Raw genomic sequence first — 27,720 nt, 5'->3', positions numbered from 1 at the left:
TTGTTACATGGAGTGAAGAGAACTGACATGCTGTCCAATAAACTTCCTTGTCCTCCTTATGCAAGAAAGGAAATCCTGACTTAATGCGTAGCCACAGAACAAGTTAATATTCTACATCTATCGGAGCTGAACTTCCTAAAAGACAAAGTGTTTATCTTTCAAGATTCATTCTCCCTGAATCTTACCAACAAAACACTCCTGAGGAGAAAGAAAGAGAGGGAGGGAGAGAAAAAGAGAGAGAGAGAAACAAAAAACCAAAGAGAGAGAAAAAATGAATTCATCTAAATCATCTGAAACACAATGCACAGGTAAAATCTGCAACTCTTCCTTTCCTTCCATAGATCTCTTTTTGGAACAAGTGATAAATATGGTGAAAGACAGGACAATAGAAAAGTATTCACTGAAGTTAAAAAAAAAAGTGGGGGGACAGAGGAAGAGAGAGAGAGAGATTTAAAGACTATTTCTTATACCAGAAAGCCTGCTGGCCTCTAGCTAAGGGAGAGCTATCAGTTTCCACCCTTTCTGCAATACATTGTGTCCCTTTTGGCAAGTCACTTCACTTCTCTGGAACTCTCTTTGTCTGTAAAATGTTTAATGGGAGGAAGAGAGGAACTATTAGATGACTGTTAACATTTTACCTAATTTACAAAGCGCTTGAAAAGTGAGACACAGAAAAAAAAAAAAGATCAGGAGAAGGACAAGAAAAGCAAAGACGAGAAAAGGGAAAAGAAAGAAAAAGAAAGAAGGGGGGCCTTAGAAAATACTGAAAAAAATTTAACTGAGAGACTTAGAAAGGAAAAATTGTATATCTGAGTTCATGAGTCAGAGTCTTACTCCAGGGGTGCTAAACGTGTGGTCCTCAGACCAGCAGCAGCAGTAGCCCCTGGGAACTTGTTGGTTCCATACAAACTCTACTGAGTTGCTAACTCTGGGGGTAAGGGTCAGCAATCTGTGTTTCCATAAACCCTCCAAGTGATTCTGAAGCATGCTGAAATTTGGGAATTACTCAGTACAAACAATGGAAGTAGAAGGAAATAAGTAAGGATGAATAAGAATCTCTTCTATCTCTTTTGTACCTTGCTTAGGGAAGATTGATCATGTTTGTGTCTTTCTTTCTACAGAGAGAGGATGCTTCTCTTCCCAAATGTTCTTATGGACTGTTGCTGGGATCCCCATCCTATTTCTCAGTGCCTGTTTCATCACCAGATGTGTTGGTGGGTTCTGAAGGTCAAATTCAATTTAATTCTTCCTGGTGCATATTAGGAGAAAACTCTTCCATGCTGCCTGTAGACTCTCTTTGCCCTCAAAGGGTCTTTCTATTTCACCCTTTTTTTTTTCCCTATTAATCTCTAGGTTATTTCTCAAACCAGAAACCTCAACAAGCAGGGAACTGTTTCTGAATTTTAATCACCTGTGACTTACTTTTCATGATAGACATTTTTCACTTCCTTGGCAGTCCTGAATCCTCCTCTTTCAGCCTCTATCATTAGTGTAACCTTCTCTAGGAGAGTCTGCCTTAGAGCTTGAACTACTGGTCGGCACCAGAGATATGACTAATTACTTTTGGAAGGAAGGGTAGAGAGAGTTGGACTTGGCATAAGAGGTAGTGCAAACATATCTATTTTCTCTGGGTCGTAAGAAAAAGCAGATTGTAAGAAAAAACATGATAATTATTGGCACTTTTGTTATAAATACAAAACTGAGGGAACTGACATTTTTAACCGAAATAAGACTAACAAACATTATGCCCTTTCTTTTACAGTGACATTTCGCATCTTTCAAACCTGTGATGAGAAAAAGTTTCAGCTACCTGAGAATTTCACAGAGCTCTCCTGCTACAATTATGGATCAGGTATAATAGTCCCAAAGGTGAACATCAAAATTTACAAAGCAACATTTTCTGGCTTCTAGATTGACTTTGGGACAGGTGAGATATAGCTGGATTAGGTCTTATTTTTCAAAAGCAAAATGTAAAATCCTAGAAATTTGGTGATGCAATTAGCATTGGGGCAGAAAGTCTTGGGGACATTATAGTAAACTTTTAGAATAAATTTGAGGGGTATGTCTGAACAGTAAATCTGGAAGTGGAAGGTATTATTCCCAGGAGTGTACCTTTTTTTTCATTCACCTACTTCCAAAATGAGATGGAGAAAAAACGTATGGAGTAGAGAATTTATAAATATCTCACAAATATACTCTCTATGCTCTTCTATGTCATCCTGTTGCAAGTCCTAGCAAAATGCTACATGACACTAAAAAAGTGACTTCCTTCTCTGAGCTATAATTTTCTCACCATTAAATTGAGAGAAGTTAGAAGAATTATTTATAATAGACCTCAAAGGCAAAAGTTCTGTAATTCTAAGAAATCTAACTGTAGGGACCAGCCCCACAGGGTTGGTGGGTCTCTCCCTGTGTCCAGAGACGAGAGCATGTAGAAATAAAGACACAAGACAAAGAGATAAAAGAAAAGGCAGCTGGGCCCAAGGGACCACTACCACCAATGCGCGGAGACCGGTAGTGGCTCCGAATGTCTGGCTGCGCTGTTATTTATTGGATACAAGGTGAAAGGGGCAGGGTAGAGAGTGTGAGTCATCTCCAATGATAGGTAAGGTCATGTGGGTCACGTGTCCACTGGACAGGGGGACCTTCCCTGCCTGGCAGCCGAGGCAGAGAGGGAGAGGAGACAGAGAGAAAGACAGCTTACGCTATTATTTCTGCATATCAGGGACTATTAGTACTTTCGCTAATTTACTACTGCTATCTAGAAGGCAGAGCCAGGTGTACAGGATGGAACATGAAGGCAGACTAGGAGTGTGACCACTGAAGCACAGCATCACAGGGAGACGGTTAGGCCTCCGGATAACTGCGGGCAAGCCTGACTAATGTCAGGCCCTCCACAAGAGGTGGAGGAGCAGAGTCTTCTCTAAACTCCCCCAGGGAAAGGAAGACTCCCTTTTCCTGTCTGCTAAGTAGCGGGTGTTTTCCCTTGACACTTAACGCTACCGCTAGACCACAGTCTGTCTGCCTGGCCACGGGCGTCTTCCCAGACGCTGGCGTCACCGCTAGACCAAGGAGCCCTCTGGTGGCCCTGTCCGGGCATAACGGAAGGCTCGCACTCTTGTCTTCTGGTCACACCTCACTATGTCCCCTCAGCTCGTAGCTCTGTACGGCCTGGTTTTTCCTTGGCTATGATTATAGAGCGAGGATTATTATAATATTGGAATAAAAAGTAATTGCTACAAACTAATGATTAATGATATTCATATATAATCATATCTAAGATCTATATCTGGTATAACTATTCTTGTTTTATATTTTATTATACTGGAACAGCTCGTGTCCTCTGTCTCTTGCCTCAGCGCCTGGGTGGCTTGCCGCCCACATCTAACCCATCTATATACTACAGTATGGAGATTTGATTGAGGATACATTGTTTAGGTAACATAAGAGATGGCTCTTTGGGGGTCACCCAAATAAAATGCATAAATTTCTCTGACATTAGTAGTCTAAGAACAGATAATAAGGTTCTATATCAATAGCATAACTAAGATAGTTTGCATATATAGTTGCATTTCCTGGCACTGACATCCAGAGAATGAGAATTACGTTCAAAAGACCAAAAACATTCTGTTTATGTTTCTTGACATTGGAATTATCTAAAGTCTTAGATACTAAGATGTAGGGTATGAACAAGTGATTCCAAGGCTTCTGACTTAAATGAGGACTCCATGGGGCCAGATGAAGCTTTGGGTTTTCTTATTCGGTTCACCTGGGACACTCACTGAAACATCTCTCATCCTAGGTTCAGTCAAGAATTGTTGTCCATTGAACTGGGAATATTTTCAATCCAGCTGCTACTTCTTTTCTACTGACACCATTTCCTGGGCGTTAAGTTTAAAGAACTGCTCAGCCATGGGGGCTCACCTGGTGGTTATCAACTCACAGGAGGAGCAGGTAGCTGGAGTCCTCCGATGCCAATGTAACATTCCCGACATGGTCCACCTCTCTTTTCATACATATGCACAGTGCTTGACCCCCAATGACTATTGTTAATGAATGTACTAAAATGCATGCTGTTCTTACTATTTCGGTAAAGTCACTGCCTACCTTAATTTATTTTCCTTCCTAGAAGAACCTAAGAAAAAGGGAATTTCCATGTGGAGTTCCTTTAGTTAGGCAAGGGGAAAAAGAGGGTTGGAAGTGTTAATTTTAGACGAATCGTTATGTTTATGAACATATTATATGAAAGAAGAGAAGCAAATATTGTCCGTTTTCTTTAAGCTGTGATTAATAATATTTTGCGCTAGATATATTCAATAAATTTGGCCACCAATAATAGTAGATAAACTTTGAAAGAATTATTGAGGATCTCCTTTTCTGTTGAAGGTTATTTTTTCAGTTTAATTTTATGTTATGTATATTTTACCACAAAAAAAAATCAGTAGATAATCCTCATGATCTTACAGTTTCACTTATCTGTTATTTCTCATCCAGATTCTTTTTTACTTTTTGAGATGGAGTCTTGCTGTGTTGCCCAGGCTGGAGTGCAGTGGCGCAATCTCGGCTCACTGCAACCTCTGCCTCCCAGGTTCAAGCGATTCTCCTGCCTCAGCCTCCCAAGTAGCTGGGACTACAGGCACCCGCCACCATGCCTGGCAAATTTTTTTATACTTTTAGTAGAGACAGGGTTTCGCCATGTTGGTCAAGCTGGTCTTGAACTCCTGACCTCAGGTGATCCACCCGCCTCGGCCTCCCAAAGTGCTAGGATCTCATCCAGATTCTTACCTCTTTGAATAATAATTACTAGCAACGTTTATTCAAAACTAAAATAACTGATCTCCTTTTATTTTGTATCTTCCATAGGAATTCCTTTCCTACAAGAAACCTAAAATGAGAGAGTTTTTTATTGGACTGTCAGACCAGGTTGTCGAGGGTCAGTGGCAATGGGTGGACGGCACACCTTTGACAAAGTCTCTGAGGTAATTACCCTCCTATTGAGAGGAGTTCTTGAAACCTCCTTCTGTTACCTGCAATAGATCAGGTCCATTATTGGTGGTGGTATTAAATGCAGGAAAGAGAAGAGCTAAGGTAGAAAAGATGAAGGAGAAGTACAAGCACCCACTTCTCTCCTTTCCTGGAATTGTCTCAAGAATAAAGGGGAAATAATAAATGAAAATGAACTGAAGAATCATTCACTGAGAATGCAAAAGAGACGAGAGGTGGAATTAAGAGTCTTATTCCCCAAAACTGAAGGAAATGAGGAAAAAAATAGTAAGTTGAGAAAGACAGCAGGTTCTTATGCAGTGAAAAATGAGAATCTCTTGATAATGTCTCTTTTCTCCTTAATAATAGCCTCACGTCATTAGAACATAGCATTTTTTATTGTGGATATGCTTTTTTTGTTAGATTGGTTAATTGATATATAAAATATTTTGCTATATATGTTGATTCTCATGATTTGTTAGGGAGTGAGTTTTTTCTTTTTTCTTTTCTTCAACTTTTATTTTAAGTTCCAGGGTACATGTGCAGGATGTGCAGGTTACATAGGTAAACGTGTGCCGTGGTGGTTTGGTTTGCTGCAGAAATCATAACATGACCCGGGTATTAAGTCCAGCATCCATTAGGTATTCTTCCTGATAGAGCATAGCATTTTTAATTTTTTTTCTCATTTATTATTTCATTTTACCTAAATTACACTTTCTTGGAATGTATCAGTATTATTAATCTTTATTTAGCATTTGAGGAAACTAAAACTCAGCAGAGTTAAGTGACTTAGCTAATGAGCAGTTCTAAGAGTACAACAGAGATACTCTGACATGTTAGAAATGCTGCTTCACTACCACACTGTAACATCACTGCAGGATGCACCTAAGTTAATACACACTCTGTGCAGAATAAAGAGAGCTAAGCCGATATGAGGTATGAGTGTGAAGAAAACAAATCTATCAGAATATCAATCTTCCCCATAACTTCTCATTCTATAGCTAAGGAACAGGACAGAATAGAAAAGGAACAAAGGAACAGGACAGAATAGAAAGTCAGAAAGATCCGGTTCAGCTTCAGTACTCACAAACTGTGACTTCGACAACTAGTTTAGCTTCCTGAGGTTCCTTTTCTTCTTCAATAAAATGGACATTATAATACCTACCTCGCAAAATTGTTGTGAGGTTAAATAACACAAATGTAATTTGCCTAGTATATTAGGTTACTTTACCTCTTTTTGCTGGGATTTTAAGTCTCCTATGTCATTCTTTTTCAGCTTCTGGGATGTAGGGGAGCCCAACAACATAGCTACCCTGGAGGACTGTGCCACCATGAGAGACTCTTCAAACCCAAGGCAAAATTGGAATGATGTAACCTGTTTCCTCAATTATTTTCGGATTTGTGAAATGGTAGGAATAAATCCTTTGAACAAAGGAAAATCTCTTTAAGAACAGAAGGCACAACTCAAATGTGTAAAGAAGGAAGAGCAAGAACATGGCCACACCCACCGCCCCACACGAGAAATTTGTGCGCTGAACTTCAAAGGACTTCATAAGTATTTGTTACTCTGATATAAATAAAAATAAGTAGTTTTAAATGTTATAATTCATGTTACTGGCTGAAGTGCATTTTCTCTCTACGTTAGTCTCAGGTCCTCTTCCCAGAATTTACAAAGCAATTCACTACCTTTTGCTACATTTGCCTCATTTTTTAGTGTTCGTATGAAAGTACAGGGACACGGAGCCAAGACAGAGTCTAGCAAAGAAGGGGATTTTGGAAGGTGCCTTCCAAAAATCTCCTGAATCCGGGCTCTGTAGCAGGTCCTCTTCTTTCTAGCTTCTGACAAGTCTGTCTTCTCTTCTTGGTTTCATACCGTTCTTATCTCCTGCCCAAGCATATATCGTCTCTTTACTCCCCTGTATAATGAGTAAGAAGCTTCTTCAAGTCATGAAACTTATTCCTGCTCAGAATACCGGTGTGGCCTTTCTGGCTACAGGCCTCCACTGCACCTTCTTAGGGAAGGGCATGCCAGCCATCAGCTCCAAACAGGCTGTAACCAAGTCCACCCATCCCTGGGGCTTCCTTTGCTCTGCCTTATTTTCAATTGACTGAATGGATCTCACCAGATTTTGTATCTATTGCTCAGCTAGGACCCGAGTCCAATAGTCAATTTATTCTAAGCGAACATTCATCTCCACACTTTCCTGTCTCAAGCCCATCCATTATTTCTTAACTTTTATTTTAGCTTTCGGGGGTACATGTTAAAGGCTTTTTATATAGGTAAACTCATGTCGTGGAGGTTTGTTGTACAGATTATTTCATCACCCAGGTATTAAGCCCAGTGCCTAATATTGTTTTTTTCGGCTCCTCTCCCTCCTCCTACCTTCCGCCCTCAAGTAGACTCCAGTGTCTGTTATTCCCTTCTTTGTGTTTATGAATTCTCATCATTTAGCTCCCACTTATAAGTGAGGACATGCAGTATTTGGTTTTCTGTTCCCATGTTTGCTAAGGATAATGGTCTCCAGTTCTACCGATGTTCCCACAAAAGACATAATCTTCTTTTTTAAGGCTGCTTAGTATTCCATGGTATCTATGTATCACATTTTCTCTATCCAATCTATTGTTGACTCACATTTAGATTGATTCCATGTTTTTGCTATTGTGAATAGTGCTGCAATGAACATTCGTGTGCATGTGTCTTTATGGTAGAAAGATTTATATTTCTCTGAGTATGTATCCAGTAATAGCCCATTCATTTATTGCATAAAATTCTACCAATACTGATGACGTTATTAAAGAGTACATCAATAACGTGGCAGCTTTCATAACCATGTTTCTTGCACAAAGTGCCATGAGGAGACCCTCAAAATTCAATCACTGGACACCACGTGTAATCACTGAATGAGAAAATTCAACTGGACAAGTGAATATAACACATCAGCTTTCATTGCAAAAGTTTATTTCTCTTAGGCATTGTGACAATCTGGTTTTCAAATCAACACATCTTTAAGCCAATTATTTAACCTAAAAGTAATTTTAAACATACTTTCAACTTTCTAATTCCCTTTTTTAAAATCATGAACATCAATAAGGAGATGCTGAAAGACTTTTTTTTTGTTCATTGGTGTTTCCCTGAAGGTGGCTATAATTTAAGTTTTATTTCTAGATTGAAAGACATATGGAAATATTATTCCATATTATTTCTCCATATATATTTAGAATTTAAGTTTAAAGACAAGTTTTAAAGACAGGTTTATAAAACTAAACTTGTCTTTACAGTTTGCCAAGAAAAGAAAGAATTGCTAAGGGTTTAGTGGTTAAAGATTATTGGAACATAAATTATCTATTAGGAAAATTATTTTTTGAGAAGTAGATCATCCAATTGAAATTGTTTTAAAGTATAATATCTTATAAGTGGGGTTACACAAACACTTTACCACCTTCGGCACCAGAAAACCCAGACATTTTCAAAGAATAGTAGATTAATTCATGATACATATTCTTAAAAGCATATTCCCAAAATAAACTACTGTTAAGATTTACATATTACTATATGGGTCCCCAATTTTTTTAAAGAAAAATTACTATTTTTTGTAAAAATGATACATGTTCATTACCAAAAATTCCTACAGATCACAATTATAGAAAGATGAAAATTTTTAAAATTCCAATTCCACGTTGCAGTAATAATTATCATGAACGTCACTCCAGGAAACTTTTTATGCCTTTAATGGGGTGCAGGAAATGCTACCTCAAAATATGGCACCTTGGGAACTGAGAAAACCGCAAAAACGGGAAGTCCACTCTCATCTTTCTCTTGCCTTTCTTACCGGAAGCAGGCCATAGCATCTAGGAAGGTCATCTCTGACCTTCTTCCTCCTTTCTCCTCTGAACACTCTCCTATGACAGGTGTCCTGCTCTATACCCAAAAGGAAAGAATGTCGTACAGGGAAGCCAAGAAGAACCTGAACAAACAGGCCTTGCTAAGTCTCATTAGGTTATTATCATTAGATCATATCGCTTTTTGTCTAACCATGTTTTTTTTTTCACAACTATCCACTTCATGAGGCTTAGCACAAAATTTACATAGATTTCTCTGTTTTTTGAGTGTTCATTTCTGAAGGCTCTCATGTCATGTAAAACTTACGTTAAATACATCTGTATGGTTTTCTCTTGTTAATTTGTGTTTTGTTATAAGGGCCTCAGCCATGAACCTTGCAATTGGTGAGAAAAAGATGTTACTTTTTCTCCCCTATGACTTCAAGAGTTAGATGAAAAGATGGAAAAACAAAGAGTTAAAAAAACCCAAATATATATATATATTTACATGTATACACACATACACACATGCATTGACACACTTTTAGAAAGGAATTATACAACAGATAATACTTTAATTTTTTAAATTTTATTTTGGTTTTGATTGACACATAATAATTGTACACATTTGTGGGATACAATGCGATGTTTCAATACATGTGTATGCTCTATATTAATCAAATCAGGGTAATTAGCACATTCATTACCTCAAACGTTTAAAAAATTGAAGTGAAATTGAAGAATTACTGAGTTCAAGAATGTTACAGCCTTTATAGATTATGAAAAAGAGTTATTTCCCAGAAGGTCCCTCTGAAGTAAAAAACAAAACAAAACAAACAAAAAATTATAAACAATCAACAATTAAGTCAAATGTTTTTGCTCTCCTGTTTCCCAATCCCCTTTTCTACCTTTCCGTTTCCTGATAATGACTCCTAAAATCATTGCACGTGGGTGGAGCAGAGCAAGGTGGTCTTTATACGTGTGTGCATGTATATGCGGGAGGGGGAGAGGGACGCATGACTACCCCTCAGAGAGTTAGATCCCAGACAGTGTAAAGGGGAGATTGTGGGGGAAGCAGGAGACAGTAAGGATGTCAGAACGCCAGTGGGTTCAGCAGGGCATCCTGGTGGGGGTTGGACTGTCCCAAAGTCTCAAAGCCTGAGCTAGAGTGAGGAGGACGCCCATACGTGGGGGTGGTTGAGCAAAGGTGTCTGAGCCGAAGCAGGAGGACTATCTAGGAGGGCCACAGGGCACCGGGCAGGGTGAGGTGGATGTCCACACAGGTCATTCAGCACAGGATGGAGAGGTAGAGCCTGAGCGGGTCAGCATATATGTCGTGCAACCAACTTTAAAATTTCGCACGGTTTACTCTTGGGTATCTTAGAATTGTATTGCCATTGTAAGTGTAATATTATTTTGTACATTTTGCAGAGTATTATATTGTTGATTTTTGTATAATAATAATTTATCCAGAAACACTGTTTAACTTTCCTAATTTTTTAAAACATTTTGTCCATACATTCCCTTTTATTTTCTGTGTAGATAATTATACTGTCTAAAACACTGAGCTATCCAGTACAGTAGCCACCAGCCACAGTAGACTATTAAGCACTATCCTAATTGAGATATTCTGTAAGTGTAAAATACACACTAGTTTTTTTGATAATTTGAAAAAAGAATATAAAATATGTCACTAAGAATTTTATATGGATTACATGTCAAAATGATAATATTCTAGATATGTTTGTTCAAATAAAATAAGTTATTAGAATTAATTTCACTTCTTCGGGCTTTTTTTTTTTTTTTTGCTTTCTTGATATAATTACTGGAAAATTTAGACATATGCAACTCACATTTTTGCCTTTCACTATATTTCCCTGGGACAGTTCTGGTCTAGAAATAATGATAGTTGTGGGTTTTTAAAACTCCCTTCCAGTTCTTTTGGTCATATTGAGCTGGCTAGGAATGCCAACATATTGTTGCATAAAGCTGCTATAGTTTTGTTCTTAAACTTAAAGAAAATGCTTCTAATGGCTTACCATTAAATCTAATAGTTGCTACAGGTTTGGGGTAGACATCCTGCAGAAAATTCCTTTCATTTCTTCTTTGTTAAATGTTTTAACACTAAGTGGTTTATTGATTTTACTAGATGATGCTTTAGCAGCTCTTTTAAAATGTTGATAAGATTAATTACATTAATAGATTTGCACACTATGTACATATATGCACATTGTTTAAAAAAACAAATTCTTCTAGAGGATTGTAATTAAAAATAGCTGTTTCCTGCCCACTTCTGATTCCCACACCTAAGTGGCAATCGTATTCAACCGTTTAGATGCTTCTTTTCTATTGAGTTCCATGTTTCTATTTCTATCAAAAGTTTATACTATAATTCCTTGATTTTTTTCAGTTTTAGATAATTTCTATGAGCTCCACACTAATGAAAACAAGAATAGTCTTCTTTCTCTCTCTCTTTCCCATCCCCCTGCTATCACTATATAATCATTTATTTAAAAATCAGTATTCAACATTTGCACTGGTATGAATATGTAAATATTATTCACAGCTGAACCATTTGCTGTATTCTTACTACATATTTTTAATTACATTTTGCTTTTTATGGAGTTAATATTGACATCTTTTCTTTTTTTGGAGACAGGATCTCACTCCGTCCCCAGGCCAGGGTACAGTGGCACAATCATGGCTTCATTGGAGCCTCGACTTCCTGGGCTCAAGCAATCCTCCCATATCGGCTTCCCAAGTAGTTAGGACTACAGGTGCACACCACCAAACACAGCTAATTTTTTAATTTTTTGTAGAGACAGGGTCTCACTTTGTTGCCCAGGCTGGTCTCAAACTGCTGGCCTCAAGTAATCCTCCCACCTTGGCCTCCCAAAGTGCTGGGATTACAAGCTTGAGCCACCATACAGGACCCATTTTTTTATATTTATCTAGCTTTCTGCGTACTGACATAATTCACCTTTTAACTCTTCAGAAATGTATATCACCTCTCAATTCATTCAAATGCATTCCATCTATCCCATAATTTTGTAGGGAAAAAAATCTTCCTTGGAAAATTTCCTTCCTTTCCCAATCTGAACGGAGATTGCTCTGGTGATTTGCTTCACAGCCATTACTTTGCTAAGTGTTATTAAAAAAGAAAATATTTTGTAATTTTAAGGTTATTTCAAATTATGTTGCAACAATGCAATATAAATGCTATTCACTTATAAGAACAAGATATAAATCAAAACTATATTGTTAAGTAAAAAATGCAAATGTTTAAGAATATGTAGATTATATTTCTATTCATATTTAAAATGTGGATTATATATCTATATATGTTTAGTATATAACATGTATGTAATTATATGTTTATTATGTATAGTACATAGTTTATATATAGTATATATTCTTATACACTTTATATGTAGTACATATAGTATAACCATTTATGGAAATGTAAATAAGAAACTGATAATCATAGTTACTCTGAAGAGGCATTTCAGTAACTAGAGTTCAGGTTAGAAGATTTATTTATCTTCTACGTTTACTAATGTTTTTACAGTTTGCCTTTTTAACACACATATATTACTGTTTCAAAAATGAAAACACTGCTTGAAATTTTTAAGAATTTTAAGCTTCTAGGACTACCATAATGTACTAAAATAATTAGAACCTATTTTTATGAAATTACTGTCTTTGTCTTGAAGAGATTGTGATGAGGTGCCATGAGAGTTCAGAATAGACTAAAAGAGACTATGGATGTGTATTAGTTCATTTTCTGCTGCTTATAACAGGATATCTGAGACTAGAAATTTATAAAGAAAAGAAATTTATTTCTTATAGTGATGGAGGCTGAGAAGTCCAAGGTCAAAAAGCTGTGTCTGGTGAGGGCCTTCTTGCTGGTAGGGACTCTCTAAAGAGCCTCAAGGTGGTACAGGGATCACACAGTGAGGGTGCTGCGTGTGCTAACATGCTAGCTCAGGTCCCTCTTCCTCTTTTTATAATGCCACCAGTTTTCTGCCTATGATAACCCATTAATACATCAACCCATTAATCCACTATTCTATAACTGGGAGTTAATTCATTCATGAGGATAGAACCCTCATTATCTGATTGCTTCTTAAATGCCCCACCTCTCAGTCAGTGGTGTTTTGAGGCTCCCACGGAAAAAAACCGCAATAAGTGAGTGGATCCTTCACCCGCAACCAAGATACCCAGGCTGTCTCATCATAATTGACTGGAAGGCTGGTGTGACCCACGGAGAGAAGAAAGAGCAGAGCGGTGCAGCGGCCCACCTGAGAGCCACATGGGGGAAAGGGAACCCCCTCCCCCGAGCCAAGGGAGGCAGTCGGTGAGCACACTACCCAGCCAGGGAAACTGTGCTTTTTCCACGGAACTGTGTAACTTACGGATTGGAAGATCCCACTCACAAACGCACGCCACCGGGGCCTAGCATCCCAACCCTGGAACGCGCGACTCTCACCGGCTCTCAGCTGGAATGTGCCAAGGCCTACTGAACTCCTGGGGGTGGGGGAGCGCGGGCGGAGGGCGACCAGCACTGGCTGTGGCTGCCTGCTGTCTAAGCCGTTTGCGCTCTTTGAGGGAGGGGCAGTAGCCAGCACTGGGACTCACAGCTGCTTAACATGCAAAGCTCCCTGGGCGGCGGAAGGGAAGCACCCATTTCTGTAGCTTCAGGCTGTGCTTTTCCCCTGCGGAGCCAGGGAGGCTGGAGAGCTTGGTCCCAAGATTTGTCCCCACAGCCCAACACACTGGCTGTGGCAGTCTGCGGCCAGAGTGCCTCTTCAGGCCTAACCTTGACACAGCCTTCCTCAGGGGGCAGGGCTTCCCTGCAGGATCTCCAAAAACTCCAGCCAGAGGCTCGGGGACAGAATTTGGTTCTCCGTGGGCCTGGGCCCCTAGGGAGAGGGGTGGCTACAGTCTCTGCAGATCAGCAGACTTAGCCTCTCCTCCTGGTAGTTCTGAGGAATCCGGGCAGCCCAGATGAGTGGGTTTAACCCCAGCAAAACACACCCTCTCCACCAAGGGACAAAGGGCTTCATTAATCAGGTCCTACTCCCTGTGCCACCCAACTGGGTGAGACCCTTCAACAGGGGTTGTCAGACACCCTATACAGGAGTGATCCTACTAGCATCAGGTTGGTGCTCCTGAAGGTCAGAGGTCCCAGAAAAAGGAGCAGGCACCCGTCTTTGCTGCTCTCCAGCCTCCTTGAGTGACATCTGCAAGCACGGGAGTGAATTGGATTAACAGAGCCTGAAGTGAACCCCCAGCAAACTGCAGCAGCCCTACAGAAGAGGGACCTGACCATTGAAAGAAAAAAAACCAGAAAGTGACAACAACAGCATCAACAACAACAACAAAAGGGCCCCCACAAAAGCCCCATCTAAGGGTCAGCAGCCTCAAAGACTGAAACTAGACAAACTCACAAAGATGAAAAAGAATCATTGAAAAAATGCTGAAAACCCAAAAGACAAGAGTGCCTCTTCTCCTCCAAATGATCACAGCATCTCTCCATCAAGAGTGCAGAACTGGACAGAGGATCAGATGGATGAATTGATAGAAGTAATCTATAGAAGATGGATAATAAAAAACTATGATGAGCTAAAGGAGCATGTTCTAACCCAATGCAAAGAAGCTAAGAACCTTGATAAACGGTTAGATGAATTGCTAATTAGAATAACCAGTTTAGAGAGGAAGATAAATGACCTGATGGAGCTGAAAAACACAGCATGAAAACTTCATGAAGTATAAAGTATCAACAGCCAAATTGACCAAGTGGAAGAAAGGATATCAGAGTTAGAAGGCCACTTTACTGAAATAAGACATGCAGACAAGAATAGAGAAAAAAGAATGAAAAGGAATAAACAAATCCTCCAAGAAATATGGGACTTCATAAAAAAACCAAACCTATGATTGACTGGGGTACCAGAAATAGACAGGAAGAATGGAAACAAGCTGGAAAACACACTTCAGGATATTATCAAAGACAACTTCCCCAACCTAGCAACACAGGCCAACATGCAAATTCACAAAATACAGAGAACACCATTAAGGTACTCCACAAGAAGATCAACTCCAAGACACATAATCATCAGATTCTCCAATGTCAAAATGAAGGAAAAACTGTTAAAGGCAGCCAGAGAGAAAGGCCAGGTACCTACAAAAAGAAGCCTATCAGATTAACAGCAGACCTCTCAGCAGAAACTGTACCAGCCAGAAGAGATTGGGGGCCAATATTCAACATTCTTAAATAAAAGAATTTTCAACCTGGAATTTCATATCCAGTCAAACTAAGCTTCATAAGCAAAGGAGAAATAAAATCCTTTCCAGACAAGCAAATGCTGAGGGATTTCGTTACCGCCAGGCCTGCCTTGCAAGAGCTTCTGAAAGAATCACTAAATATGGAAAGTAAAAACTGGTACCAGCCACTGCAAAAACAGACCAAAATATAAAGACCAATGACACTATGAAGAAACTGCATCAACTAAAGTGCAAAAAAACCAAATAGCATCATGATGATGGGATCAAATTCACACATAACAATACTAACCTTAAACGTAAATGGGCAAATACCCCAATTAAAAGACACAGACTGGCAAATTGGATAAGGACTCAAGACCCATCGGTGTGCTGTATTCAGGCGACCCATCTTACATGCAAAGACACACAAAGGCTCAAAATAAAGGGATGGAGGAAAATTTACCAAGCAAATGGAAAGAAACGAAAAAGTAGGAGTTGCAATCTTAGTCTCTGACAAAACAGACTAAAGGTTAAAAAAGACAAAGAATGGCATTACATAACGGTAAACAAAACGATTCAACAAGAGATAACTACTCTAAATGTATATGCACCCAATACAGGAGCACCCAGATTCATAAAGCAAGTCCTTAGAGACCTACAAAGAGACTTAGACTCCCACATAATAATAGTGGGAGACTTTAACACCCCACTGTCAATATTAAACAGATCAACAAGACAGAAAATTAACAAGGATATTCAGAACTTGAACTCAGCTCTGGATCAAGTGGACCTAGTAGATGTCTACAGAACTCTCTACCCCAAATCAGCAGAATATACATTCTTCTCAGTGTCACATGGCACTTATTCTAAAATTGACCTCATAATTGGAAGTAAAGCACTTCTCAGCAAATGCGAAAGAACTGAAATCATAAAAAACAGTCTCTCAGATCACACTGCAATCAAATTAGAATTCAAGATTAAGAAAATCACTCAAAAACACACAATTTCAAGAAAATTGAACAAACTGCTCCTGAATGGCAGCTGAGTAAATAACGAAATTAAGGCAGAAATCAAGAAGTTCTTGGAAACCAATGAGAACAAAGATACAATGTACCAGAATCTCTGGGACACAGCTAAAGCAGTATTAAGAGGGAAATTTATAGCACTAAATGCCCACATCAGAAAGCTGGAAAGAGCTCAAATTGACACTGTAACATCACAATTAAAAGGACTAAAGAAGCAATAGCAAACTAATCCAAAAGCTAGCAGAAGACAAGAAATAACTAAGATCAGAGAAGAGCCGAAGGAGAATAGAGACATGAAAAACCCTCCAAAAAATCAGTGAATCCTGGAGCTGGTTTTTTGAAAAAATTAACAAAGTAGATAGACGACTAGCTAGACTAATAAAGAAGAGAGAGAAGAATCAAACAGACACAGTAAAAAATGATAAAGGGGATATCACCACTGATCCCACAGAAATACAAACCCCCATCAGAGAATACTATAAATACCTCTAAGCAAATAAACTAGAAAATCTACAAGAAATGGATAAATTCCTGGATGCATACACCCTACCGGGACTAAACCAGGAAGAAGTTGAATCCCTGAATAGACAATTACGAGCTCTGAAATAGAGGCAGCAATTAATAGACTACCAAACAAAAAAAAAAAGCCAAGGACCAGATGGATTTACAGCTGAATTCTACCAGAAATACAAAGAAGAACTGGTACCATTCCTTCTGAAACTATTCCAAACAATTGAAAAGGAGGGACTCCTCCCTAACTCATTTTATGAAGCCAGCATCATCCTGATACCAAAACTGGGAAGAGACACAACCAAAAAAAAAACTTCAGGCCAATATCCCTGATGAACATTGATGCGAAAATCCTCAATAAAATACTGGCAAACTGAATCCAGCAGCACATCAAAAACTTGCCCACCACAATCAAGTCAGCTTCATCCCTGGGATGCAAGGTTGGTTCAACATACGCAAATCAATAAACATAATCCATCACATAAACAGAACCAAAGACAAAAACCACATGGTTATCTCAATAGACGCAGAAAAGGCCTTTGATGAAATTAAACATCCTTTCATGTTAAAAACTCTCAATAAACTAAGTATTGATGGAACGTATCTCAAATAATAAGAGCTATTTATGACGAACGCACAGCCAATATATCATATTGAATGGGCAAAAGCTGGAAGAATTTTCTTTGAAAACTGGTACAAGACAAGGATGTCCTCTCTCACCACTCCTATTCAACATAGTACTGAAAGTTCTGGCCAGGGCAATCAGTCAAGAGAAAGAAATAAAGCATATTCAAATAGTAAGAGAGGAAGTCAAGTTGTCTCTGTTTGCAGACAACATTATTTTATATTTAGAAAACCCCATCATCTCAGCCCAAAAACTTCTTGAACTGATAAGCAACTTCACCAAAGTCTCAGGATACAAAATCAATGTGAAAAAATCGTAAGCATTCCTTTACACCAACAATAGGCAAGCAGAGAGCCAAATTATAAATGAACTCCCATTCACCATTGCTACAATGAGAATAGAATACCTAGGAATACAGCTAACAAGGGATGTGAAGGACCTCTTCAAGGAAAACTACAAACCACTGCTCAAAGAAATAAGACAGGACACAAACAAATGGAAAAACATTCCATCTTCATGGATAGGAAGAATCAATATTGTGAAAATGGTCATACTGCCCAGAGCAATTTATAGATTCAATGCTATTCCCATCAAACTACTGTTGATATTCTTCACAGAATTAGAAAAAACTATTTTAAATTTCATATAGAGTCAAAGAAGAGCTTGTATAGCCAAGACAATCCTAAGCAAAAAGAACAAAGCTGGGGGCATCATGCTACCTGACTTCAAACTATACTATAAGGCTACAGTAACCAAAACAGTATGGTACTGGTCCCAAAACAGACATATAGACCAATGAAGCACAACAGAGACTTCAGCAATAACACCATACATCTACAACCATCTGATATTCAACAAGTCTGGCAAAAACAAGCAATGGGGAAAGGATCTCCTATTCAGTAAATGGTTCTGGGAAAACTGGCTAGCCATATGCAGAAAACTGAAACTGGGCTCTTTCCTTACACCTTATACAAAAATTAACTCAAGATGGATTAAAGACTTAAATGTAAAACCCAAAACCGTAAAAACCCTAGAAGAAAACCTAGGTAATACCATTCAGGACACAGGCATGGGCAAAACTTCATGACTTATTGACAACTGAAGCTCAACCTATATATAGTTCTTTACAAATTAAAAATGGATAATATTAACTATACGAAGCCCACTAGCATTTACATAAAGTTACTTCAACAAGTTTCATAGGTTTCATGCTACATAATTTAGTGAATATGGCAAACACAGTCAAATTTATTTAGCACCATTTCAGCTAAAAGTATCAGCTTTTAACACAGCTACACGCATCCATCACCACCACCACCACCACACAATCAAACACCAGTATTTCAAACCCAAAAAATCAGTAGCTAATTTACAAAATAAATACTGCTTTTAAAAGCAGTAGTAGGAAAGTTAGGTTAAAAAGCTGTTGCTTGGAATTTTTCAGCTTAGATCCAGGAAAAATTAGCAAATTGAAAATTTTAAGAAAGACCACCATATTTTATTAAAGTTGGATGTGACTGCCCTTTGCAATTAATGTTTCATGCACCAGAAAAGCATAATTTCTGGTTGTCAAAACAATAACTTCCTTGCTAGTTCAAACTATAGTTATACAGCTCTAAAGAAACATTAACAATTTGTATAAATGGGTTGAAAATGTGATTATTTTCTATTCAAATTAATAATGCAAACACGAATACAATGTTACTTCAAACAATTAAGAAATTTTATCCAGTCGTTAGCTAAGTAATGAGGTCGAGTAATCCCCAGTAACTTCCTGTGATACCAAAGGGAATGTATGTTATCTCTAATGAAGCACACCTGGGTCTGTCATGAACTAACAATGTGAAGGTGAGCCCTTTGGCTTCTGGGGGATTTTATTTCCTCTGCTGTAGAATTGAAGGACTTTGTTTAAGGTGTCTTACAAAGACTTCTTGCTTTGCAAAAACGTGTTGGGTGGAGTAAGAAGTAAATTTTTAAAGGCATTTGGACTTTTTTTCTATCTGTAGAACAGCATAATTCAGAACTATTCCACACTGTTGTTCTGGAAAAATTTTCCTCATGCAATGTAATTGTAATGACTGACATTAAAAAGTCTGAAAATGAAACATCAAACAATAAAAATGTGGTTTCAAATCTTTAAAGTGCTTGCAATATTTGGGTTAAAAATGATGCACCACTACCAGTTAGAATATCCCATCTTTGAATTTTAAGAGCTAAGAGTCTGAGAAGGGGAAAAATGACAAAGAGATTGCATTATTCACGCTATTCTTCCATACATGCATTCAGTGCACACCAATTGAAAAGTAAACACCTTGAAATACTACTAAGAAAGCAAAGAAAGATTATTCCTTCCATCAAACACCATACAAAAACCACATTATCTACACACACACACACACACATACACACATGTTGTCTCGAATGAATCAAACAAAATAAAAAAGACCATTATGACTAAAAACGCTGTATGAACCAGCATGTTTTCTGTGTTCCAATGACGCACGTACATTCTGCCTTATTCTAATTGGTTTTTCTTTTCTCTTTCCATCACAAGGACCACTTTCTGAGTTTCTAGTTCAATGTTGTTCCAGGTATTTTACAAATCCTACTTGCTTCAAAGTTACAAGGAACATCATTCCAGGCCCATTTATCTTGGTTATAAACAAGAACAACACAGTTTTCTCCCTGAGAGTTGTCGGGTTCATTCTTATGCCAGAATCTGAAAGAACAACAACATAGATAGAGATTTATAGGTATATATAGACAATGTAGATTATAGGTGTAGATTAGATATAGATATATTAGGAGACAATTCAGAGAAATGTCCCTAGTGAACAGTTTAGAACTGCACTAATACTATACTCACTAGACACATGTAGCTACTGAGCACTTGAAATGTGGCTTCTCTGAATTGAAATGTGCTTTAAGTCTTAAGTGCTGTATTTTGAAGACTTAGTGCCAATGAAGAATGTCAAAGACCTCAGTAATAATTTTATAATGATCACATGTTGAAATGATAAGATTTGGATATATTGGGTTAAATACATTATTAATACGTTATTAAAATACATTTCACTTGCTTCTTTTTACTTTCTTAATATAACTAACAAAAAATTTTAAATTGCACATGTGGCTTTGCATTATATTTTTACTAAACGATACTGGCTTCAAGAAAGAAAATGACAAGATTTTGATTCTCTTTCAAAGAAAATTTTTATCGCTTATATTGTTTATTTAAATGTCAAGCCTAAAACAAATTTTATATCACTTCTATGCTATTCATTCTTTCATTATTGACATTGTGCAAATAAGAATACTGAAAATTGCATGCAAATTATAGGACCATTCTGGAACTGGGACATAGCATATGGAGATTACTCAACCTACAGTGGTCTCTCTTAACATTTTTATATCAATGTACTCCACTTCAAAATGAATGTTTCTTGCTACCATCTTCTAACCTTTGCTTATAAATCCCCTTAGCCCACTCAATATACTTACACTCTGCGTGGGTTAAATGGCGTCTGGTCCACCCAACGCCACTGACCTTTGGCATTCTCATCTCTAAGTCCAAGGAAATAGGAAAGCCGTCTATCCAGAAACTGAATAATAAAGTTCTGCATAAAAATGTAAATTTTAATATAGTTGCATGAATCAGGTGATGGCTATGATGTTGGAAAAAGAGGAAATATGTCAACTAGATTACTGGTTAAGCACAAAAGCTCTGGCATCAGATAGATCTGTTTTCAAATCCTGCCTGTAATGTTAGTAAGTGCTTCAATCTTACCAAACCCCCAGTGCTCTTGTCTTCAAAAGGGACAACTCCACTACTTTATAGAGTTACTAGGAAGATTAAGTGAGGTCAGACTTGCAACCCTTTTAGCACAATGCTTAATAAGATTAGATTTTTTAGGAGGTTTTGTTTTTAATATCTTCTTTAATTGCGTGCATATTTCATTAAATTCCATTTTATTCAGAATTACCGAACCTATACATTGTAAACCTATGGAGACAAAATCCTTGAGGAAACTATTAACCAAGAAAAAGTTAGAATCTGAGTCATGGTACATAAATGGAAACATATTACATGAGGAAATAAATTTTAGCCTTTAAAGAATTTACCCTAAGATTTCTTTACTTATCATTAGATCCATACATCTGAATTAGTTTTCCTGTACTTTATCCTGAGAAGCTAGTTCAGTCCTGATTAACCATTCATTTATTCACCTACTAACCAAACATTTATCAAGACCTATCCAGTGTGCCTCACACTGCACGGGACATTGGAAGCGCAAAGGTGAGTAGAGCATGGATCCAGCCCTCCACGTAGTAAAAGTCACTGGAAGAGATGGAGCAGTGAACAGACAATTATAGTGGAGTGAAGTAAATGCCATGATCTCGTTGTGCACAAAGTCCTACAGAAGTACTTCCCACTTAGAACAGGGAGGGGTAGAATGAGGAAGGTAGTTAGGGTAGCTTTCTGGAGGAAATAACATATGAATCAAATATAGAAAGACCAAAAGAAGTTGGCCATATGACAAAAAGTTGAAGAGGAAGAAAGGGCTTTCCAGGCAGATGGAGCAGATGAAAACAGACAGAGGCATAACAGGACAGAGAAATTCCTCTTTTTCTGGAAAGAGATTCAAAGCAGCAGAGAAACTGATGTGATCCTCCCAACACACCTGCTCAGCTTCCGTGCTGATGGTCATCAGATGGGCCCCCATCCCTGAACAGTTCCTTTCACTCTCAGCCCACGTCTTGTTGTCAGTAAGAGGAAAATAGCAGTTGGACTGGAAGGCTCTCCAGTCAATAGGACAACAGTTCCAGGTGCTCCCTCAAGTGAAAATTAAAACGGAAATTGGTAACAAAAGAGCATTTCATCTGTAACAGATTGCATAACTATTCTACTACCTATATCCAATTAATATTTGTGAGAATAATATCAAGATCACCAAAATTATTCTGTTCTCCTACCAAAAGATCCTGAAAATTACATTCCTAAATATCTTCTAAACATAAGTACTGGACACCACATAATGACTACGAGAAAATCACAAAATATTGCCTTAGAAGGCATGACTGTTATTCATTGTTCCTACATCTGTTGACTTGCACATTTAAAGTGTTTCCATTACGAAGCTTTTGCAGGATATTTTACCTAAAGTGGGTAAAGAACCTACTAAAACTTAAGCACTGCCCCATTCTCCCAAATGAGATGACAAATTCCACAATAATAAAAGAAATAAAGACATGTCAGCAAAGCTGTATATTCTAGGAGGAAACTGTCTTTATCATATGTCTGAATCAAGGGAAAATTGAATCTGATTAATGTTATGTTTTGGATGTCAAAAATAACCCATCCATCTGTAAAGCTATATTCTCCGGTTATTAACTGGATTACAGTAATGAGAAATAATTCTATCTTAAGGTATTCTTATTTACTCCGATGCCAGATTCTCATCTTATGCTATTTTAATCTTTCCTGGTTCACTACTGACATTCCTTCAGTCAGACTATGAATTTGAACGAAAATGGAAATTAAAAAAGAAATTATCTTACACTCTGTACCTTCAGCACTTTTCAGTTCTGATTTCTCTTTGATGCATTTGAGCTTTGCATGGTGCTCTAACTTGTGCACTCCTGTGCCTCTCTTACAGCGTGAAAAGTTGTGATGAGTCACTGTCAAGGATAAAAGCAAGTTAGGTTTCTTTTTCTATATAACCACTAATTAGGGAAATAGGGGCTGACCTTCCTAAATTTTCTCTTATCCTAATAATTAAGGCCCTCATATTCTCTTTTCTTTCTATGCAGCTTGTTTGTTTCAGCTCCAGGTGAATTGGTTGAAAGCAATTGTTGAAAATTAATATTTTTATTATCATATTGTCCTTTTTTTTTCTGAGACGGAGTCTCGCTCTGTCACCCAGGCTGGAGTGCAGTGGCGCGATTTCGGCTCACTGCAAGCTCCGCCTCCCGGGTTCACATCATTCTCCTGCCTCAGCCTCCCGAGTAGCTGGGACTACAGGCGCCCGCCACCACGTCCGGCTAATTTTTTCTGTTTTTAGTAGAGACGGGGTTTCACCTTGTTAGCCAGGATGGTCTTGATCTCCTGACCTCGAGATCCGCCTGCCTCGGCCTCCCAAAGTGCTGGGATTACAGGCGTGAGCCACCGCGTCCGGCCCGTTTTGTTCTTTACGGGAGAAGTTTTGCAAACTTTTATGTGCACATGCTTGCAAGCATGTTTTTCTATCAAAATTTGTGTTAGAATAGGGGTTTTTGGTGCGCGCTGGGTTGTATGAACCTTATGCATTTCTAAAATACTTTCACCTTGAAATATATAAACAAATGTACCCTTCCTGGACAGCACACACCGGGGCCTGTTGTGGGGTGGGGGGAGGGGGGAGGGATAGCATTTGGAGATATGCCTAATGTTAACTGATGAGTTACTGGGTGCAGCACACCAACATGGCACATGTATGCATATGTAACTAACCTGCACGTTGTGCACATGTACCCTAAAACTTAAAGTATAATAAAATAAATATAAATAAATAATAAAAAATAAACAAATGTAAAAAAGTGGAAAACAGTTTAGCAAATTATTGTAAGGTGAACACTCCAGGTAACAACTACTCAGCTCAAGAAACAGAATATTGCCAAAACCCCAGATAGCCTTCACATCTCAAAGGCAGCTCACTCCCTCGCCTTTATAGGTAACCACTCTCCTTTACAGGTAACCACTCTTGGCTTTTAAAGTAACCGCTGTGCTTTGCTTCACAATTTTGTCACTTACTAACATGTCCCTATAGATCAGATTTGCCTGTTTTTGAACGGCAATCACACAGTATGTATTCTGATTCTGTCTTTTGTTGAGAATTGTTTCTGAAATTTGTCTATTTTGTTACGTGCCCGCTATAATTCATCCATTGTCATTGCTGTAAAGTGAACTATTGTCTTCCTGAAACAAAATATATTTATCTATTCTACTCCTATTAGATGTGTGCCTTGTTTCCAGTGTTTGGCTACTGTGAACTATGCTCTTCTGAGCATTTTCAACCATGCATTTGGAGCACATAAGCATGCGTTTCTGTAGGGCACATACGTAGGAGTGGAACTGCAGGCAATAGCGTACGAATATTGTAAACTATGATAGCGGTAAACTTTTCCAGAGTGACTGTAATGCTTAAACTCCACCAGAAGCAATTCACTAGAGGTCCATTTGCTCCATGGCATCATCAATATTTAGTAGTGCCAGACTTTTTATTGTTGCCATCCTGTTATGTTTGCAAAGGTGTCTCACTGTGAGTTGCATTTGCATTTCCCTGATAATTAATTAATGAGGCTGGCACTTTTGTGTGTTTATTAGACATTTCATTTTTCTCTTTGTTTTAGTACCTATTTAAGACTTTGCCCAGTTTTTTTATTGTAAGTATTTTTCCTACTGGTTTGAAAAAATTTGTATATAATCTACATGTGAATTATTTATTAATTATATGCATTACAAGTATCTTCTCCTATGGCTTTTTATTTTCACTGTTACTGGTATGTTTTGTTGTACAGTAACTCATTTTAATGTAGTATAATTTGTCAATGTTTATTTTCTAGTGCATTTTGTGGCTTGTTTAAGAAATCGTTCTCTACCTCCAGGTCATGAGGATATTCTCCATTTATCTTCTTAAAACTTTATTGATTTACTTTTCACATTTTGGACAATAATCTGCTCTAGATTTGTTTTTGTATACAGTGTGATGCAGGAGACCAATTTCATCTTTTAAATATAAATAATCAATGGGCTCTGCAACATTAATTGAACAAAATTGTCCTTTTCCCATATGTCTGAGATATCTTCTTTTGTTTTATATAAAGAGTCTTATATACATGCAGGATCTGTAACCAAGCTCTCCTTTATTTTCCTCTAGTCTATTTGTCTTGCACCTATATCATATTACTTTAATTATAATTATTTTATGTTTGATATCAGAAAGAATTTTTTTAATGGTGGTGATGGTTTCAAGGGTGTATACTAATCCCCCAAATTGAGATGTATACATTAAATATGTACAGGTTTTCATATGTCAATCGTACATCAATAAAGAGGTTGAAAGAAAGGAAAAAAGAAAGAAAGAGAGGGAAAGAGAGAGAGAGAACAATTCTTCCAACCTTGTTCTTTTCAAAGCCAGTCTATCTGAAAGTTATTTTTCTTCTGCTTACTCTTTTCTCATAAGATGTATCCCTTTGTGATCCCAGTCCAAAATGGGGGGAAATTTGCTATAGTAACCAACTTTTACATGTACAGAAAATGGTCTAAATTCCATCAATCAATCTCTATCACAAGGTACCACCATTGAAAGACAGAAGGTCAAGAATGTAGCTCTGAATATTCAGTGCAAGACCCTGAAGATATTATAGATAGGTTATGCTAGGAAAAATCAAGATACCAAAAGGCTTAGAGCAACTTCAGAAAAGTTGTTTGGAAATAATAATTCAAGAAGAGTTCTACTTTGGCTAATAACTTACCCAAACAACTTGCAATAAAACAGACACTGAGAAGTAAGATGAAAACTACAGCAATAACCGAAGGTATCAGCTGGGGATGCATGCCTCCTTCCACTAGGACCAAAAGAAAAATAGAGATTAACCTCCTCTCAGCTACAAGCTAGGAAAGCTAATTCTACCAAGGAGCAATCTAAAAGTGACAGCAAACCAAATATTTCAGATCTAGAGAAGAGCATAAATATTTTCTCCAAATAAATCAATTTTAGAGCTTATTGATGAATAAATAAATAAGAAAGAAAAATGTAAAATTTCTTGGTAATTTTGAAATGAAAAGAATTTTATAAGTAAGATACAAAACCCAAGAGCCATTAGAATAGATAATTTGAGTACATAAAAATTAAAACTTCTATATAACACAAGCAATGTTAGAGTCAAGGAACGTATGAAAGGAAAGTCTTCTCATAATATTAATATCCGCACTGGATAAAGTATTTCAAAATCAACTAGAAAACTGAGCAAAACTCTGAGCAGGAAATTTGCTGAAATTTTAATTTGCTGAAGTTATAAATAGCCACTAATCAAACAAAAATATGCCCAATCAGGGAACTGTAAACGAAAAGATTGTGGTATAACTTTTCACACATCAGATTTTTTAAGTAAATTAAGTACATGCAGTGTTGGCAAGGCTGAGGGGAAATAAGCACTCTTAGTGAGAAAATAAATGCTGCTGCCTGGACTGGAAAATTAGGAATGCCTTTTAGAAGGATCAATTTAGTGGCATTTATCCATTTTTAAATGCATTTCATTTGCCACAATAATTTCAATTACAGGTGTCTATTCTATAGAAATAATTGAGCTTGTTTATGTTAAAAGATATTCATTGCAGTACTTCTCAAAATAGAAAACACATACTGTAATCTAATATTTACATGTATATTATCAATAGTGGAAATTCTAAATTATGGTCCCTTCACACAATGATATTCTGTATAGTAATTAAATAAGCATGTAATCAGTATATATTGATGCAAAAAATCTCTAAGAAATATTGTTACCTAAAAAGGTAATTCAATAGGATCACACTGTGATTACAGTTTGCCATGGTAGGGTGATGAGATAAAGTAAAACTTTAATTTTAATTTAAACATTTCCACACTTGTTCTATATATCTATCAAAAATATTATTTAATATTATCACAATACAAATCCACTGGTGTCACTTAAGTCAAACATAAAATGGGACAGTTAGAGCCTCTGATACAGCATAAGCCTAAATGCTTTTTCTACATCTTCCTTTTCTCTTTTTTCTTTAAAAGAATCTTCTCATATTACTCTCTTTCTTTTCATCTTATTTCTCTTTTATATATTTTATCTCCCCTCTTGGTCCAATATACATTTTATAAAGAAGTTTCTGTTATCCAACTTATTTGACTCTATGTCCTTCCTCTTCACCAACGTCATTTTTATTTCCTTCCACCTCCTTCTCCCCGTCATCATCAACAATCTTTAAAACTACCATCAATTCATATGTTTTAAATTAGTATAATTCCATCTGCTTCTTTGAAATGGAAAGGAGAGAAAGTACTCACGTTTACTTTGAGGTTTTTCTAGCCCCATTGTCTAATTAGTCTCTTGTTCAATGGTCAGGACGGCAAGAATTTGTTCTATTTTTTTTCCCCCAGAGTATATTTCTGTGGATAGGGGAATATATTCAGAAATACTTGAGATCGAACACCAATGTTACATATTGTAGTGAGATTAGAAAGGTACCAGTATAAGAAAGTTAGCTCAAAAGAAGTCTTTTTCAAAGACAGGGGTTTCCTTTGATACATTCCGGGAGATGAGGCGAAAAAAAAAAAAAAAGGAAATTGAGAAAGCAATACCAAACAACAGTTAGTAGAAACCCACAAGTATGTTGAGATCACTAGATCAGTGTGAAATGTGGAATTTCTCAATTTGTTTTTTTTTTCATTTAGACAAAAAATTTAGCAACGCCCTAAA

General features: G+C 37.4%; 2 protein-coding genes across 7 annotated transcripts; one reads left to right on the top strand and one right to left on the bottom strand.

The window, feature by feature from the left end:
• Nucleotides 1-163: 163 nt before the first annotated feature.
• CLEC4E (C-type lectin domain family 4 member E) lies at nucleotides 164-7,794 on the top strand. 3 transcript variants are annotated; one of them, NM_014358.4, is made up of 6 exons: nucleotides 164-308; nucleotides 1,122-1,214; nucleotides 1,763-1,852; nucleotides 3,803-3,954; nucleotides 4,864-4,979; nucleotides 6,260-7,764. In NM_014358.4, exons 1-6 carry the CDS (start codon nucleotides 272-274, stop codon nucleotides 6,429-6,431), a joined length of 660 nt encoding a protein of 219 aa, NP_055173.1. In that variant the 5' UTR covers nucleotides 164-271; the 3' UTR covers nucleotides 6,432-7,764. The 3 variants fall into 3 exon arrangements, with proteins under 3 accessions (NP_055173.1, NP_001397898.1, XP_011518916.1); NM_001410969.1 differs by lacking the exon at nucleotides 3,803-3,954 and having other exon boundaries at nucleotides 1,763-1,869; nucleotides 6,260-7,794; XM_011520614.4 differs by lacking the exon at nucleotides 1,122-1,214.
• A 1,578-nt stretch (nucleotides 7,795-9,372) lies between these two features.
• On the bottom strand, nucleotides 9,373-27,566 carry CLEC4D (C-type lectin domain family 4 member D). 4 transcript variants are annotated; one of them, XM_011520632.3, is made up of 7 exons: nucleotides 27,490-27,566; nucleotides 27,309-27,410; nucleotides 25,741-25,833; nucleotides 22,795-22,905; nucleotides 21,909-22,060; nucleotides 20,728-20,843; nucleotides 18,703-19,945 (listed from the first exon to the last, which is right to left on the bottom strand). In XM_011520632.3, exons 2-7 carry the CDS (start codon nucleotides 27,334-27,336, stop codon nucleotides 19,798-19,800), a joined length of 648 nt encoding a protein of 215 aa, XP_011518934.1. In that variant the 5' UTR covers nucleotides 27,337-27,410; nucleotides 27,490-27,566; the 3' UTR covers nucleotides 18,703-19,797. The 4 variants fall into 4 exon arrangements, with proteins under 4 accessions (XP_047284728.1, XP_047284727.1, XP_011518934.1 ...); XM_047428772.1 differs by lacking the exons at nucleotides 18,703-19,945; nucleotides 20,728-20,843 and adding exons at nucleotides 9,373-9,612; nucleotides 11,783-11,943 and having other exon boundaries at nucleotides 27,309-27,566; XM_047428771.1 differs by lacking the exons at nucleotides 18,703-19,945; nucleotides 20,728-20,843 and adding exons at nucleotides 9,373-9,612; nucleotides 11,811-11,943 and having other exon boundaries at nucleotides 27,309-27,566.
• Between the last annotated feature and the right edge of the window lie 154 nt (nucleotides 27,567-27,720).

The sequence above is a fragment of the Homo sapiens genome, chromosome 12 (assembly GCF_000001405.40).
Source record: "Homo sapiens chromosome 12, GRCh38.p14 Primary Assembly".
NCBI lineage: Eukaryota > Metazoa > Chordata > Mammalia > Primates > Hominidae > Homo > Homo sapiens.
The sequence above is the reverse complement of the archived record's forward strand: the minus strand, read 5'-3'. Positions and strand labels throughout refer to the sequence as shown.

Bases quoted from the DNA above. Each gene is read 5' to 3' on its own strand.
- CLEC4D (NM_080387.5), bottom strand. From the start codon at position 27,336: ATGGGGCTAGAAAAACCTCAAAGTAAAC. The intron at 22,906-25,740 runs GTAAGTTATTAG...TATCCTTGACAG, and splicing joins TTTTATTGCAAGTTGTTTGG to TGACTCATCACAACTTTTCA. The intron at 22,061-22,794 runs GTACAGAGTGTA...TTTTCACTTGAG, and splicing joins AGAACTGAAAAGTGCTGAAG to GGAGCACCTGGAACTGTTGT.
- CLEC4E (NM_014358.4), top strand. From the start codon at position 272: ATGAATTCATCTAAATCATCTGAAACACAATGCACAG. The intron at 309-1,121 runs GTAAAATCTGCA...TTCTTTCTACAG, and splicing joins ATCTGAAACACAATGCACAG to AGAGAGGATGCTTCTCTTCC. The intron at 1,215-1,762 runs GTGGGTTCTGAA...TTTCTTTTACAG, and splicing joins TTTCATCACCAGATGTGTTG to TGACATTTCGCATCTTTCAA.